The 17,889-nt window shown below is 38.3% G+C and overlaps 1 long non-coding RNA gene across 1 annotated transcript in view; it reads right to left on the bottom strand.

Moving 5' to 3' along the window:
* Window positions 1-13,854: 13,854 nt before the first annotated feature.
* LINC02066 (long intergenic non-protein coding RNA 2066) overlaps window positions 13,855-17,889 on the bottom strand; it is a 105,814-nt gene continuing 101,779 nt past the window's right edge. Inside the window, exon 5 of the long non-coding RNA NR_183765.1 lies at window positions 13,855-14,170. This is a non-coding gene — a long non-coding RNA (long intergenic non-protein coding RNA 2066). The remainder of the gene's footprint in view (window positions 14,171-17,889) is intronic.

Raw genomic sequence — 17,889 nt, 5'->3', positions numbered from 1 at the left:
AAAAAATGTGCAACGGGGAAAGGACTCCCCATTTAATAATTGGTGCTAGGATAGCTGCTAGCCATATGCAGAAGAATGAAACATGATCTCGACCTTTCAGCATATACAAAGTTAACTCAAGAAGGACTAAAGATTTAAATGAAAGACCTCAACTATAAGAATCCTAGAAGAAAACCTCAGAAATATCATTCTTGACACAGGCCTTGAGAAAGAATTTATGATTATCCTCAAAAGCAATTGCAACAAAAACAAAAATTGACAAGTGGGACCTAATAAACTCAAGAGCTTCTGCATAGCAAAGGAAAGTGTAAACAGAGTAAACAGACAACCTACACAATGGGAGACAATACAAACTATGCATAAAACAAAGGTCTAATATCTAGAATCTATAAGGAATTGAAATGATTGACAAGCAAAAAACAAATAACCACATTAAAAAATGGGCAAAGGATATGAACAGACAATTCTAAACAGTGTCCACTGATCATATGAAAAATTTACAACACCATAAATCATCAGAAAAATGAAAATCAGATGAGATACTGAGAGGTGAAGCCAGCTGGGCTTCTGGGTCAGGTGGGGACTTGGAAAACTTTTCTGTCTAGCTAAAGGATTGTAAATGCACCAATCAGTGCTCTGTGTCTAGCTAAAGGTTTGTAAACACACTAATCAGTGCTCTGTGTCTAGCTAATTGGGTAGGGGACTTGGAGAACTTTTGTGTCTAGCTAAAGGATTGTAAATGCACCAATCAGCACTCTGTCTAGCTAAAGGTTTGTAAATGCACCGATCAGCACTCTGTCAAAACGGACCAATCAGCACTCTGTAAAATGGATCAGTCAGCACTCTGTAAAATGGACCAATCAGCTTTCTATAAAATGAACCAATCAGCAGGATGTGAGTGGGGTCAAATAAGGGAATAAAAGCAGGCCACCCGAGCCAGCAGTGGCTACCTGTTCAGGTCCCCTTCCACACTGTGGAAGCTTTGTTCTTTCGCTCTTTGCAATAAATCTTGCTGCTGCTCACTTTTTGGGTCCACACCACCTTTATGAGCTGTAACACTCACCGCAAAGGTCTGCAGCTTTACTCCTGAAGTCAGCGAGACCACGAACCCACCAGGAGGAACGCATAACTCCAGACACACCACCTTTAAGAGCTGTAACACTCACTGCGAAGGTCTGCAGCTTCACTCCTGAAGTCAGCGAGACTACGAACCCACCAGAAGGAAGAAACTCTGGATATGTCCGAACATCAGAAGGGAAAAACTCCAGACACAACATCTTTAAGAACTGTAATACTCACTGCGAGGGTCTGTGGCTTCATTCTTGAAGTCAGTGAGACCAAGAACCCACCAATTCCGGACACATTTTGAAGACCATGAAGGGACTATCGCCTATCGCCAAGCGGTGAGTCCATCGCCTATTGCCAAGAGTTGAGTACCACTGGACTCCTTTCGCTTTCTATTCTGTCCTATTTTTCCTTAGAATTCGGGGGCTAAATACTGGGCAACTGTCAGCCAGTTAAAAGCGACTAGCGCGGCCGCCGGACTAAAGACATGGGTGTCAGGCTTTTTGGGAAAGGGCTCGCTAACAAACCCTGACTCTTCGGAGTCGGGAGCGTTGGTTTGCCTGGAACCAGCTTCCACTTTTCCTGTACTTCTGGGCTGAGCTGTGGGTCAGCAGAGAGGAAAGCCATTCAGCTCCAGGATCCCGACAACAAGTTGGTTGACCTGCGACCATGAGCGGAACTCTTAAAGGCATGTTGCCAAAGCAAGACTTGCCCATCTATCCTACCTATCCTGACCCTTGCCCCGTGGGTCCTAATGCCTACCAGACAAACTTCCTCTCGCCTCTGTTCTCCAAGGCTAGTCATGCTCCTAAAAACCACTCCCTGTCTCTGGTGCTTTTCTAATTTCTCCTGTAAGAATGATTTCTAGTATAAACTTCAGGACTCTGTTACCTTCTTTAGACACCCGGGCTCACCAATCAGAAAGACATAAATTTTGCCCAAAGTAGGGGGGACTATGTGGAATTTTAAGATCCCTCCTCAGATAAGCAGACCTAGCAAACGCTATTCCTGAAGCTAGGATATGAGGAGCCTCAGAAATTATATCCTTCCTATTCATATAAAAGGCATCACTCTTCCAAAAGGCATCACTCTTCCAACTCTGGAGATCCCTCCCCTCCCTCAGGGTATGGCCCTCCACTTGATTTTGGGGGCATAACATCTTTATAGGACAGGGGTAAGGTTCCAATACTAACAGGAGAATGCTTAGGACTCTAACAGGTTTTTGAGAATGCATCAGTAAGGGCCAGTAAATCCGACCTTCCTCGGTCCTCCTTGTGGTCTTGGAGGAAAACTAGTGTTTCTGCTGCACGTTGGTGAGCGCAACTGTTCCAATCAGCAGGGTCCAGGGACCATTGCGGGTTCTTGGGTTTCTGCTGCTGTGTCAGTGAGTGCAACTATTCCGATCAGCAGGGTCCAGGGACCATTGCAGGTTTTTGGGCAGGGGGGGATACAAAAAAACTAAAACCATGGGTGGTTTTGTCTTTCAGATGGGAAACACTCAGGCATCAACAGGCTCAACCTTGAAATACATTCTAAGCCATTGGGACCAATTTGACCCCCAAATCCTGAAAAAGAGGTGGCTCATTTTTTTCTGCACTATGGCTTGGCCCCAATATTCTCTTTCTGATGGGGAAAAATTGCCACCTGAGGGAAGTACAAATTACAATACTATCCTGCAGCTTGACCTTTTCTGTAAGAAGGAAGGCAAATGGAGTGTAATATCTTATGTCCAAGCTTTCTTTTCATTGAAGGGGAATACACAACTATGCAAAGCTTGAAATTTACACCCTACAGGAGGACCACACAGCTTACCCCCATATCCTAGCCTCCCTATAGCTCCCCTTCCTATTAATGATAAGCCTCCTCTAATCTCCCCTGCCCAGAAGGAAATAAGCAAGGAAATCTCCAAAGGACCACAAAAACCCCGGGCTATCGGTTATGTCCCCTTCAAGCTATAGGGGGAGGGGAATTTGGTCCAACCCGGGTACACGTCTCTTTCTTCCTCTCTGATTAAAAGCAGATCAAGGCAGACCTGGGGAAGTTTTCAGATGATCCTGATAGGTACATAGATGTCCTACAGGGTCTAGGGCAAACCTTCGATCTCACTTGGAGAGATGTCATGCTATTGGTAGATAAAACCCTGGCCTTTAATGAAAAGAATGCAGCTTTAGCTGCAGCCTGAGAGTTTGGAGATACTTGGTATCTTAGTCAAGTAAATGATAGAATGACAGCTGAAGAAAGGGACAAATTCCCTACTGGTCAGCAAGCCATCTCCAGTACAGATCCCCACTGGGACCTTGACTCAGATCATGGGGACTGGAGTCATAAACATCTGTTGACCTGTGTTCTAGAAGGACTAAGGAGAATTAGGAAAAAGCCCATTAATTGAATAATTGAATTAGGAAAAAGCCCATCATCATTGAATAATAATGTCCACCATAACTCAGAGAAAGGAAGAAAATCCTTCTGCCTTCCTCGAGCTGATATGGGAGACCTTAAGAAAATATACTCCCCTGTCACCCGAATCACTTGAGGGTCAATTGATTCTAAAAGATAAGTTTATTACCCAATCAGCCACAGATATCAGGAGAAAGCTTCAAAAGCAGGTCCTGGGCCCTGAACAAAATTTGGAGGCATTATTAAACCTGGCAACCTTGGTGTTCTACAATAGGGACCAAGAGGAACAAGCTCAAAAGGAAAAGCAAGATCAGAGAAAGGCCGCAGCCTTAGTCATGGCCCTCAGACAAACAAACCTTGGTGGTTCAGAGAGGACAGAAAATGGAGCAGGCCAGTCACCCGGTAGGGCTTGTTATCAGTGTGGCTTACAAGGACACTTTAAAAAAGATTGTCCAACGAGAAACAAGCCATCCCCTCATCCATGTCTGCTATGCTGAGGCAATCACTGGAAGGTGCACTGCCCCAGAAGACAAAGGTTCCCTGGGTCAGAAGCCCCCAACCAGATGATCCAACAACAGGATTGAGGGTGCCTGGGGCAAGTGCCAGCTCATGTCATCACCCTCACTGAGCCCTGGGTATGTTTAACTATTGAGGGCCAGGAAATTGACTTCCTTCTGGACACTGGTGCAGCCTTCTCAGTGTAAATCTCCTATCCTGGATGACTATCCTCAAGGTCCATTACCATCCAAGGAATCCTGGGACAGCCTATAACCAGGTATTTCTCCCACCTCCTCAGTTGTAATTGGGAGACTTTGCTCTTTTCACATGCCTTTCTTGTTATGCCTGAAAGTCCCACACCCTTATTAGGGAGGGACATATTAGCCAAAGCTGGAGCTATTATCTACATGAATACGGGGAACAAGTTACCCATTTGTTGTCCTCTACTTGAGGAGGGAATCAACCCTGAAGTCTGGGCATTGGAAAGACAATTTGAAAGGGCAAAAAATGCCCACCCAGTCCAAATCAGGCTAAAAGACCCCACCACTTTTCCTTATCAAAGGCAATATCCCTTAAGGCCTGAAGCTCATAAAGGAATACAGGATATTGTTAAATATTTAAAAGCTCAAGGCTTAGGAAGGAAATGCAGCAGTCCCTGCAACACCCCAATTCTAGGAGTACAAAAGCTGAATGGTCAATGGAGACTAGTGCTAGATCTTAGACTCATCAATGAGGCTGTATTTCCTCAGTATCCAGTTGTACCCAACCCTTATACCCTTCTCTCTCAAATACCAGAGGAAGCAGAATGGTTCACGGTTCTGGACCTCAAGGATGCCTTCTTCTGTATTCCCCTTCACTATGACTCCCAGTTTCTATTTGCCTTTGAGGATCCCACAGACCACACATCCCAACTTAAGTGGATGGTCTTGCCCCAGGGGTTTAGGGATAGCCCTCACCTGTTTGGTCAGGTACTGGCCCAAGATCTAGGCCACTTCTCAAGTTCAGGCACTCTGGTCCTTCAGTATGTGGATGATTTACTTTTGGCTACCAGTTCAGAAGCCTCATGCCAGCAGGCTACTCTAGATCTCTTGAACTTTCTAGCTAATCAAGGGTACTACGCATCTAGGTTGAAGGCCCAGCTTTGTTTACAGCAGGTTAAATATCTAGGCCTAATCTTAGCCAGAGGGACCAGGGCCCTTAGCAAGGAACAAATACAGCCTATCCTTGCCCTAAGACATTAAAACAGTTGTGGGTGTTCCTTGAAATCACCGGCTTTTGCCGACTATGGATCCCCAGATACAGTGAGATAGCCAGGCCCCTATATATTCTAATCAAGGAGACCCAGAGAGCAAATACTCATCTAGTAGAATGGGAACCAGGGACAGAAACAGCCTTCAAAACCTTAAAGCAGGCCCTAGTACAAGCTCCAGCTTTAAGCCTTCCCACAGGACACTTCTCTTTATACATCACAGAGAGAGCAGGGATAGCTCTTGGAGACCTTACTCAGACTAGTGGGACAACCTAAGGAAATTGATGTGGTAGCAAAAGGCTGGCCTCACTGTTTACAGGTAGTTGCAGTGGTGGCTGTCTTAGTGTAAGAGGCTATCAAAATAATACAAGGAAAGGATCTCACTGTCTGGATTACTCATGATGTAAATGGCATACTAGGTGCCAAAGGAAGTTTATGGCTATCAGACAATCACCTACTTAGATACCAGGCACTACTCCTTAAGGGACTGGTGCTTCAAATACAAACATGCATGGCCCTCAACCCTGCCACTTTTCTCCCAGAGGATGAGGAACCAATCGAGCATGACAGCCAACAAATTATAGTCCAGACTTATGCCACCCGAGATGATCTCTTAGAAGTCCCCTTAGCTAATCCTGACCTTAACCTATATGCCGATGGAAGTTCATTTGTGGAGAATGGGATACGAAGGTCAGGTTATGCCATAGTTACTGATGTAGCTGTACTTGAAAGTAAGCCTCTTCCCCCAGGGACCAGCACCCAGTTAGCAGAACTAGTGGCACTTACCCAAGACTTAGAACTGGGAAAGGGAAAAAGAATAAATGTGTATACACATAGCAAGTATGCTTATCTAATCCTACATGCCCATGCTGCAATATGGAAAGAAAGGGTTAGGGTTCCCCCTAATCTCTGGGGGTACTCCCAATAAATACACAAGGAAATTATGGAGTTATTGCATGCAGTGCAAAAACCCAAGGAGGTGACAGTCTGACACTGCTGAAGCCATCAAAAAGGGAAGGAGAAGGGAGAACAGCAGCATAACAGCTGGCAGAGGCAGCAGAAAGGAAAGAGAGAAAGAGACAGGAAGTCAGAGAAAGAGAAAGAGGAAGAAACAGAGACACAAAGAGAGGGAGTCAGAGAGGGAAAGAAAGAGAGACACAGAAAGAGAGAGAGGAAGAGACAAAGAAGGAGTCAAAGAGAGAGACAGAGAGAGGAAGAGAGAGAAAGAGACAAGAAGTCAAAGAGAAAGAAAGAGAGATGGAAGTAGTAAAGAAAAAACAGTGTACCCTATTCCTTTAAAAGCCAGGGTAAATTTAAGACCTATCATTGATAATTGAAGGTCTTCTCTGTAACCCTATAACACTCCATTACCACCTTGTTGTCAGTGTAAACAAGGGCATAGCCCAAAAGCACTGAGGTCACTGACAATCCGTAGCCTTTCTATCAAAAATCCTTAACTCAGAAGGTTTCCTAATAGGTGATCTAAATCTTAATTAATTACCATACAAAGGTCCAACCAGACCAAGGAGGAACTCCCTTCAGGACAGGATGATAGATGTTTCCTCCTAGGTGATTAAGGGAAAAAGACACAATGGGTATTCTGTAAGTGATAAGGAAACGCTAACAGAAGCAGAATTAGGAAAATTGCCTAATAGTTGGTCTGCTTAAACATGCGAGCTGTTTGCACTCAGCCAAATCTTAAAGTACTTACAGAATCAGGAAGGAGCTATCTATACAGAAAAAGTAAAGTTTGCTAAAAGTTAACAGTGTAACATGCATTATCCTACTACCACACACTCTCAAAGGATTTCTCAGTTTGCAAGAAATAACAAAATCTATCCTTACTTTACAATCCCAATTAGACTTTCTGTGTCTGTCCTTCTTTCTCTCTGACTCCTTTTCACGTCACCTCTCAGTAGGAATACAGGAAGCATGAAAGTCCGGAGACTAGGAAATAATTGTCAAAGGGCTTAAAATGAACCGGCTTAGGGAATCTTGGAAGTAGGAACTGGTGTTACTTATTCTGCAATTTCCTAGGGCATTTCTTGCTTCTATTTGGTGATAAAGATAGGGTGTTGGTATTTGGGATCCATCTTGTTCCTATTCCTGTATGGTTCCCCTACAGATTGGCTATATAACTGAAGAGCATATTTTCTTACTTTTTTTCTGATTTCCTGTATCCCCTGGGGAGAGACCCGCTGTGCAATTTTTAAACTACCATATTCTGTACCTCCAGACAGAGTGTATGTGGGGCTCCATACTATATGCCTTTGAAAGAAAAAGGGTATGGCAGAGGGGGCCAGTCCCAGACCACAGTGGAAAAACACACTGAGCTGAAACAGATCCATGCATTGCTTGGCCTTAGAGCTCAAATAAAATGGATAAAACCAGTTATGAAAGAATCAAAACAATAAGGGATAATTACAAAGGGCACTAATCCTGTGATACCCCCATACTTCCATTAAAGAAGTCAGGTAAATTTGATAAAGATGGTTGATGTCTATATAGCTTTCCACAAAATTTCAGGAAAGTAAATGAATTTGCTGTTCTATTAATCTCTATAGTCCCTAACATGACGATTATTCTGACTTCTGACTTTGGTACCATTGTCTGAAAATGTTTTCTCTAGAACTGGTCTACACTTTCCCTCCCTCCCTCCTTTTCTCCCTTCCTCCCTTCCTTCTCCTTCCTTTCTCTCTCTCTCTCAGGGTGACAAATAGGGATTCTCTGAGCCAAAAATGCTCATTAAAGGAATCCTACATTCTGCAGAAATGGGACAACAGTAATCCTCCACTATTCTTAGTCCTCTGCTGGGAACATTCCTAGAGAAGTGTAGTCATAACTAGAATATGGTGGTAGATGCAGAGGGGCAACTGCTGTAGCTGGTTCTGTTAAGGAGGTCTGAGTGGTACATTTCCATAGCTGCCACATAGTGAGATACTTTTTAACAATAAAAGGAATGAAACTCTAATCTACACAACCACCTGAATAGGTCTCAAAAAGATTATGTTGTGCCAAAGAGGTCAGATACAAAAGAGTGCATGACACCATTTATATAACATGACACCATTTATATAAAATTCTAGATAATTCCTACAGTACAATAGCAGATCAGTGGGTGCCTAGGGTCAGGGAAGAGGGGTAAGGATTAGCTGGACAGGGGCACAAGGAAACCGTCTGAAGTAATAGAAATGTTCTGTTAAATGTGGTGGTGGTTACACTGCTTTGTATATTTGCCAAATTCATAGAACTTAAAATGGGTGCATTTTCTTGTAGGTGAATTACACCTTAATAAAGCTGACTTCTTAGGACAATCTACCTTCTCAATAAGCTGTTGCTGCTACCCTGGTTTTAAACATTTTTTTGTAAAACTTAATTTTTTCCTAATGTTTCTACTGTTTTGGCATTTTTTCATTTTATTATGAAAGATGATTAACATTCAGAAGATTATGTAAAATGTGTACTCATTTAAAAATAATACTACTAATAATAAAGCAAACACTACATACTTACCACCCAGGATAAAAGGAGAAAGCATTGCTGATGCCTTAGAAGGTCCATGCGCCTCCCCACTTCCTCCCCCTTCATATAGGTTCATATAACTCTCTTAGTTCTGTACTATACATGTTAGAAGCCCTGGAATTCTGTCTCCTACTCACTTCTTCTGCTTAGACCTTTCTGCATGATGTTGTCTAGCTTTTTTTGTTTTCAGAGATTATCTATATGCTGATCCATCTTCTAAAACTCCAAATATTTTATGGCAGATGTAAATTTATTGTCACAACAGGCAAATCTTGAAAAATGCAAGTCTATTTGCTTGCTATAGTGAAACTTCACATAGCCCTTATTTTGTCTTAAGTGCCCATGAGGGGAAGTTTCATTCCTGTTAATTCAGAGTAAACTGAGTTACTGGCAGCTTAAAATTCATCATCTTTTGGGTAACCACTCAGTCAAATTAGGATGTTCCTTCGCTGAATTTTCCTTGCCTTATCATCAAGCGATACTCTATGTTCTGGGTTAGTAGACAAGGTATTAACATCTGCTCTCTGGCAGCCTCTGCCAAGACTTACTTATGCCTAACATATTGATCCCTAGTGCCAAGAAATATATCTGCTAAAATAATCAGTGCATTTCCTCTTTCCTACTCCTTTTCTTCAAAGCTTCCTATTTCTTGAAAAGTCTAGAACTTGTATGAAAGTGAGATTGTAAAAACTTAAATAAGATTATCTATTCAACACTATTACAAGCTTCCAGTTTAGTTTGTTTTAAAACTTCTAGTCATTGACAGTCTTGAATAAATTAGCCTACAAGATCATAAATCAATATGCCTATTAATATTATAAATCAATTTAAAAACTGAGGCATTTCTGAAAAACTGTAGACACCAAATTGTGGGTCCTCACCCTATATACAGCAAACTCATAGATTTCAGAAACCTGTTTTTCCACTCTTTTCATCACTGTTTTTGGCATAACATCTTACAGCAAATTATAAAGATACTACTACTAAAAGGAGAAATAGTTGACAGCTTTGATTATTCAATTCATCAACAAATGCTGAGTAATGTCAAGGGGACAAAAGTGGAGTATTCCCTTTTTGTTATAATGAATAATAATTTTTTTGATGATTGAAACCAAATTGTACTCAACTCTGTCCTTCTGCAGGTTCTTGGAATAGCCCCGTGTTTATAGAAACACACACACACACACACACACACACAAGTTGAACTAAGCCAACTTAACAGGTAGAGAGGTTAAAGTAAACTTTAAACTCTCTAATTTGTAAGATTTATTCTTAGGATACCAAAATACAGATCAAAAAGCCACTTGGTGGCTGGGCAAGGTGGCTCACGCCTGTAATCCCAGCACCCTGGGAGGCGGAGGCAGGTCAATCACCTGAGGTCAGGAGTTCCAGACCAGCCTGACCAACGTGGTGAAACCCTGTCTCTACTAAAAATAAAAAAAATTAACTTGGTGTGGTGGCGCATGCCTGTGATCCGGGCTACTTGGGAGGCTGGGGCAGGAGAATTGCTTGAACACAGGAGGTGAAGGTTGCAGTGAGCCGAGATCACACCACTGCTCTCCAGCCTGGGTGGCAGAGAAAGGCTCCGTCTCAAAAAAAAAAAAAAAAAAAAAAAAAAAAAAAAAAAAAAGGCCACTTGGTAATATCTGGACTTATGAATTTTCATAACTCATAACAATGAACTTTTCCAAGCTGATTATGCCCTTTACTCAGCCTGGTTTGGCACCTTCTCTTTCAGAATACATCAATGCCTCCTTTGCATATAGACTAATTCATTCCTTCTTTGGGGAAAGTAGACCTTGAAACTCTTTGTAACACATCATGGCTATTGGTGTCCAATCAATGGGGGTAGACAAACATATATTGCAAGATAACTCACATTACTGTTTTTCTTATGAGCTAATCGAAGTAAAAACACTGAGAAATCTATTATTGAAAATTTTAGGTTTTTCATCTCATAAAATATTTTGTGATTGAAATAAATATTAAACGAACCACTGAGAGGCAGTATAGTCCCCAAAATTATTTTTTCTTCTCATGAAAAGACAGGCATACTTTGAAACCAAAGCGTACCAATATTGCTGTCAAATATTTTAATGTACATAAGAGAAGAGAAAATCACCAGCCGTATCTCATTCTTCTGACTTGTTTTAACCAACCAGAAAACTAGCCATTTTAGAAACAGAAACTTGAAAACTAGAAAATTGAAAACTACAGTATTAAGAAAAAATGGTTTCACAGCAAGATCATAAAGTGTGTTTATATTTTTAAGGGAACAGTAAGGAATGAATCTAAAGATCCATTTGTTAGGGATCTTATTTTAACCAAGTGTCTATTTTTGGTAAGTAATTTTACTAAAACAAATTCAATGGAAAAATTCAGAAGCAAGGGTTAAATGATCCACTGTGAAGGTATAAGACAGATTTGTAAAACTAAACAAAAGCAAACTCATAGTAAAATATTTCAGTTGAACCGACAGAACTTTTTTGGTTCCTGCTCCATCTGCAGATGATACTAGTCCCTCACTGTGCCACACATCATGTGGCCTCTGTGGAAAACAACAACAACAACCACACACAAAAAAAAAAACAGGACACATGAAGCATTTTACAAAAATAAATATTTTTCTCTTGCAATATTTTGCAAAAAATGTCCAGGTTTCAGAATAACTGTCTATTTAAAAATATATATATAGAAGGTACTTAAAGTAAAAACCCATAAAGAAACAAAAAATGTTACCAAAGTTAGTCTGTTCAAGGTTGGAAAATAAAAATTCATTCACTTGATTTTTATATCTGCAAGGGTCAAAGGTCATCATATATCTCTAGTTATCAGTATTTCAAAAGTCAGAGAGGTAGCAACTTAAGAAAGGGCTCAAGGCTTCACTACTGAGGAATTAGTGCTCTGTGGGATGTTTTGCTCTTTAAAGTTTATCTGAGGATATAAAGTATCTTTCTTCCCAACTGTTATCTGAGGTGTGTAACCACAATGGCAGCAGAGCAAGGTGTCCATTTTGCCCACTCAGTGTCTGTTTCTGGTCATTTCATCTCCAAAGTGAAGATTTAACCACACAAATTTGTTTAGCTATTTTCTAATTCAGTATCACTAATTTGATGTTTTCTTTATTTAGTTGGTTTTATTTATTTAAAAATGTACTGGTTGATATGGTTAACAAACTAAATCCATAGGAAACTATAATTTCGTATTTTATTTCTCCCTGGAGGATCTGTGAAGCTCCCGAGGTCATAGTCTTCTTGCCAGAAGGACTTTCATTACCCTTATAAACATATGTATTCCAAGGCTAGTATTTAGACAACATCCAATACACTCCTACTAAGTTTTGCCTGAAGTACTTATAAATGTAGAGATATTTTTCTTCTTTCAAGATTCCCATAGTGTCAATGTTCCTATCCTACCAGAAGTGATATTCTTTCCAAGCTGGTAAGTCTGGGACCTATAAATCATAGAGCAGGCACCAGGGAGTACACAGTAGCCTCAAGAAGAATATCCCCTGTTCTTCAATATTGGACTTAGCATGCTTGATTTAATAAAATTTATCTGTAGCTGTGGCATTTCTGTAACACTCATGGTTATAAATTTGATTTGTTCAATTATATCCTGTAAAGAAGAAAGATTTATGTTGAAACTATGTAAATAACCACATTGTAATAAAAAGCAACAGGACACTTTGGAGGCATTATGCCTAATGTTTAACTATTGTTCTGAGCAGTTTGGTCAACACAACAATAATGTGTTTTTTAGTTTGGCAAAATCATCTTCCTTAAATTTTTCCGATGATTTATTAGTTATTTTGTATATTAGATTTTTTTAAACTTCTTTGAATTCTAACGTGTCAATTGAAAAAGATAACATTTAAAGAGTTTTTCCAGTTTGTAGAAGTATACTTAGTCTGTTAACATCGATAGATCAAGAAGAAAGAAAGATGGGCGTTGTTATATTTCAATTAAAAACTAAAACATCAACCACAACTTAATTTTCTCATCAGTGTCATTCAGACTGAGGTCATTACTTCTTATTCATTTTATCTTGAATTATTTCACAACATCATCTGTATTTGCACCAAGAGTGTTAGAAATCCTCAGTCTGCTCACGGGAGGAGGAAGCATGTGCACCTTAGGCTATTCCATGCAGAACCCATTGTTAAGAGCATGCAGTAAAATCCTTTACTGAAGTCATCATTCTTTTGATATTTCTTCTAGAATACTCTGAATCTTGTAGCAGAGGACTTTATGCAAGTGTGAAGGAAAAGCAGAACCACTTTTTACTTACAGGACTAAAATACTCTTGGTGATTTTATTACAATAATGAACAAAATCAGAATGGGGAACAGTGAAGTCCTGCACTGAAGTTTCACATGAATAAATATTTTAAGAATTTAGTAAATGATTACTCTAAAAATAAGAATATATTATTGATGAAGTTACTGATGAGTTTGTAAGGTCCTTTAATTTATCCTATAAAATGTGTGTTATGATTGTCACAATTGGCAAGCGATTTTAAACTTAAAAAGTAACTCTGTTTCAAATCAACTTAGTTATTCTGGCAGTCTTTATGCATTACCTTAACTGTTCCTATTCATTTGTCCAAAAGTACACATTTATTGAAATATATTCATTTTGTATATAATTACCATAAGAGAGATCAGCTTTCCTTTTTGATTTGTCAGCGCTTCTTTTATCTTGAGTTTGGCAAACAGGACAGTTTTGACAGTAGTGTTAAGCTAATTAAAATTATGGCACAATCATATATACATATGCAATCATTTTTCTTATCCCTCCTCATGAAGAGAAAGGGCAAAGTATTGGTGGTGTCTAGTAGTCTTTTGGGGTAAAAAACATATTGATAGTTTTTATTATTCTGGTTTGGAGGCGAATTTGTTGCTCAAAAGGAGGCCGTATATAAGTTCTAACAGTTTTAAAGATAATAAACAGTTATAGGAAACAGTTGTAATTTTGACTTAGGTTGAAAATCCAACTCAGCAGTAAGTAATAAATATTAGAAACTCTAGCCTTTTGAGACTTCAAATTTCGTTAGAAATGGATTCAAAAGCATGAAAAAAATCACACACACCCACACACAAACACATACACACACAAACGGGCTCTTGAGTGAGAGTGTTTTAATAATTATAACAATCTTTGCTATCAAAGAATAAAATCACATAGTGCTTCTTGTTAAGAGCAGACTATATATTCAAAGATTAATTTTTCTTTCAAATATTTATCTTCTTTATCATCTGTAAGCTTCCTTTAATAATTTTAAAATCTTGATACATATTTTTAGCCATACATTAATGCACATATAGTTAAAGGTTAGTCTTAAATTATCTCAGAATGCAAATTGCTATTTTCCCCTCTCTGTGGCAAGTGATGCTTCATTAAAGTGGCTAAGAACAAGGGCCAGGTTTTTCTTCTCAACCTAGAGACAGAAAAGAAAGAGCTATCACAGAGGGAATCCAATATAATTTTTTGTCCTGGAAAGATAAAACTTAAAGTTCCTGGGTAAATGTAACTCCCCCTTCCAAAATGAATACAGCAGGCTTACATTTGTTTAATCGATCAGATGAAAAAACTGTGGCCTGAAGAAGATAAGTGCCACATAGACCAATTTTTAAAAAAAAATTCATCCTGTTTTAAAATGGCGAGAATCAAAGGTTACATACATGTGCCTAGTAATAACCCACTGTTTAATGAGCTGACAGTTAAGGAATTAATGATCTACTTAAATATCTCCAGGAAAAGATGAAGAACAATCATTTAGAACAGTTCTTATACATCAAATCACATAAGCATTGGGTCCTTTGAAATCCTAAGAGGTAGAAAAAACTGAAATTAGCAAGTAAGTTTAAGAAGAATTAAAAGAACTTTAAGAGTGGAAGTTTCAAACTTGCTATTTACAGGCTGTATACTTTGTTGACTAGCCATACTTTCTCTTAAAAACATCTTTACCATAATTTTTTTAACTGCTGAGGTTGAAAAGAAAAACAGGAGAAAAACATAACTGATTTGTCTGATGCAGTTGGGCATGCCCTATACATTTAGATTCCTGCCTATCTGCAACACCACAAGTATATATTTTAATATAAAAAATATCCCTGGAAGTTCCGGCAAATCATTCAGAATAACCTAGGTTGTGTCAGAAATTAAGGTACATATATCACCATTTCATGGTAATTTTTAGGATATAAACAACATTCTATTCCTTAGGAGAAAACAATGAGGGAGTGGGATCTTAACCATAGATTTGTTGAAAGGATGGTTATTCTGCAGAAAAGCCCTTTTAATGTGACTTGTTTTAATAGAGAATATTTAAATGGCACCAAAATATTTGAAAGGCTACCCAAAAAGTTTTAATGCAAAAGAGAATGGTTTCTTTTCTTTTTTGAAAAAAAATCTGTTATTAATTACAGGATTAAGACTTGCACAATTGGAAACAAATGGCTTTATTTCATAAACCATCTTTTGAATAAACACACAACTCCAAAACAGAAAAATAAACCCAGGTTAAATATCTCATGATTTTGAGATAGGCCTAAGCCAAACTATCTTTCACCAAAAGAGCTTTACTTACAAAAGCAAAAACTATGTACTAGGTAGAAAGTAATAATCTCTGTGGCCCCCCAAATTATCCAATTTCTTTGTATGTTACATTATTGTACATTGATAAAGTAGTGTTTTCAAAGTTGCATAGCTGTTTGTAAGACACCCCTAAATCAGAGGGACCCTATAGGATACAAACAAAGCTGGATTCCTTTGAACAAAACAGGTAAATATTCTGTAATAAAGTGAGTTTATCTCAAAGTATCTGGACTTTAAACAATCGTAATCTTAACTTGTAGTAGTCTTAATTAAATTCTAATTTAAGTAAATGTTGTTTTGCTGTTATACAAATAGCAAAACTTGCAAACATCTATCTTTATGATTTTATACTTTCAGTTTAGGCTAGTTGGGAACCCAAGAAAAATCTTAATATGGGACTTTCAGGAGCATGAATAAAAACAGGGGGTCAGAGGATGCTCAGATGATCTCAACAGAACTTCATCATAGGAAATAAATAGTGTTAACTGTTCTGCTCTCAAGAAAAAAAAAGCTGTTATAAAAGTATAATGTATTTAATCCTTAAATATAACTCTGTGTGTGCCCACACATAAAACTTTCTAGCTTTGTCAACTTAAAAAGTCTAAAAGTGATTTAACTAACTCATGAACAAATGAACATCCCTGGTATCTTAACTGTGATCTTGAAATATCATTTCAAAACCATAAGTTCTTGAAAAATGGCTGTTTCCAATCCAAGTAATGTATTAGTTGAGCCTAGAACACCTTGTCTTACTAGACAGTAAGGAAAATATTAAATACTACAAGGGTTATGTCAAAAAGACTCAGGAGCCAACTTAAAGAGGTTCACACTGATTAAAGATGAAACAGCTTAAGCTTTAATATGGTGAAGAATTGCAACAGATCAAAGCCTATGAAAAATGTTTAAATCAATGGGTTCATAATGGTATTTAAAAGTAAACCAACAAAGTAGTCATCTTTAAGCTAGCAATTCATTATACTGAAAATTGTTTATAAAGGTAAAGACTCAAGAGTCTATCCTGACTTTTTCACATGAACTGTACCACTGGGCAACCTAGTAGATGAGAGGAAAAGGCTCTTTATAACATCATTACACCTAAAAAATAAAAAAGACATAATACAATTAGAATATCACCATTTTCAACCCCAACTGAAGTTAATGGGTCAAGGCACTGAGCATCAATAACTGCTAACAAAAAGGAACAAAACTAAATAGTATGGTGATCTGATGAAAGAACACAATACCCTCCAGTCTGAACAAATTGACAACCTGAGGCTGCAAGACATTTAAGCCTGCTACCAATTTGCAGCAAATACAGAAGACAGAGGTACATGTTGAACTTCATTATGAATGTGCAAGACAAATATATAAAAAGCAATGGTATTTCTGCACACTAGTAACAAAAGGAATATGAAACATATTCTCTGAAAATTACAAAACATTATTGAAAGGAATTAAAGAAGATCTAAATAAAAGAAGACACATTAAATATTCATAGATCTGGCTGGGCACAGTGGCTCATGCATATAATCCCAGCACTTTGGGAGGCTGAGGTGGGCGGATCACTTGAGGTCAGGAGTTGGAGACCAGCCTGGCCAACCTGACGAAACCCCTTCTCTACCAAAAATACAAAAATTAGCCAGGCGTGATGACGTGTGCCTGTGATCCCAGCTACTCTGGAGGCTCAGGCATGAGAATCGCTTGAACTCAGGAGGCGGAGGCTGCAGTGAGCCAAGATCGCGCCACTGCAATCCAGCCTGGGTGAGAGAGCAAGACCCTGTCTCACACACACACACACACACACACACACACACACACACACAAATTCATAGATCTCTTCTTCCCTACAGCCTAACCAAGAAAGTTCAGTTTCGTTCTTTATCTTTGAGAACTTTTTTAAATATAAGAGAGAAAATATAAAAATAAGAGTTAATTCCTTCTGAGTGCCTGCAAATAAAAATTTTTAAGATCTCAGATTTATAAACAAAAATTAAAATAATGAGATAAAGCATTTTGCCTGTCATAAAGACTTGTTTTAATTTAAGAATCACTGCTAATAGGAGTGTAATTAATTGGGGAAAAAAATGATTGCTTGAATCAAGAAATTGATTAATATTTTATTCTTTGATCCAGTAATTTAAATGTTCTTCTGGGTCTTCTAAATACAGAGAAGGTTTTTATATACAAAAATATTACAGTGCACAATATTTTTCATAGCCATATTTATAAAATGATAAAATTGGAAACAATTCAATAGTAGAGACTGCCAAAATAAAATATGATACAACTACAGGACACAATTTTATATAGCCATCTACAAAGCAACTATCATCAAAAAATGTTTAGTAACATGGAAAATGTTTAGGTTAAAAAGTTAAGTGAAAATAATCTGAATAAAAATATATTTACAGAATCTCAGTGTATAGAAAAAATGTTAATCAAATTATTGATAATGGTTATCTTGTGGAAGACAGGAAGAGACCCAAGTGATCAGGTTTTCTTCTTTCCAATAAAAACATTTTCATATAACAACTATATATTATTAGCTCTTAGTTTTAA

The sequence above is a fragment of the Homo sapiens genome, chromosome 3 (assembly GCF_000001405.40).
Source record: "Homo sapiens chromosome 3, GRCh38.p14 Primary Assembly".
Classification (NCBI taxonomy): domain Eukaryota; kingdom Metazoa; phylum Chordata; class Mammalia; order Primates; family Hominidae; genus Homo; species Homo sapiens.
This window is presented reverse-complemented; position numbering and strand designations above follow the sequence as displayed.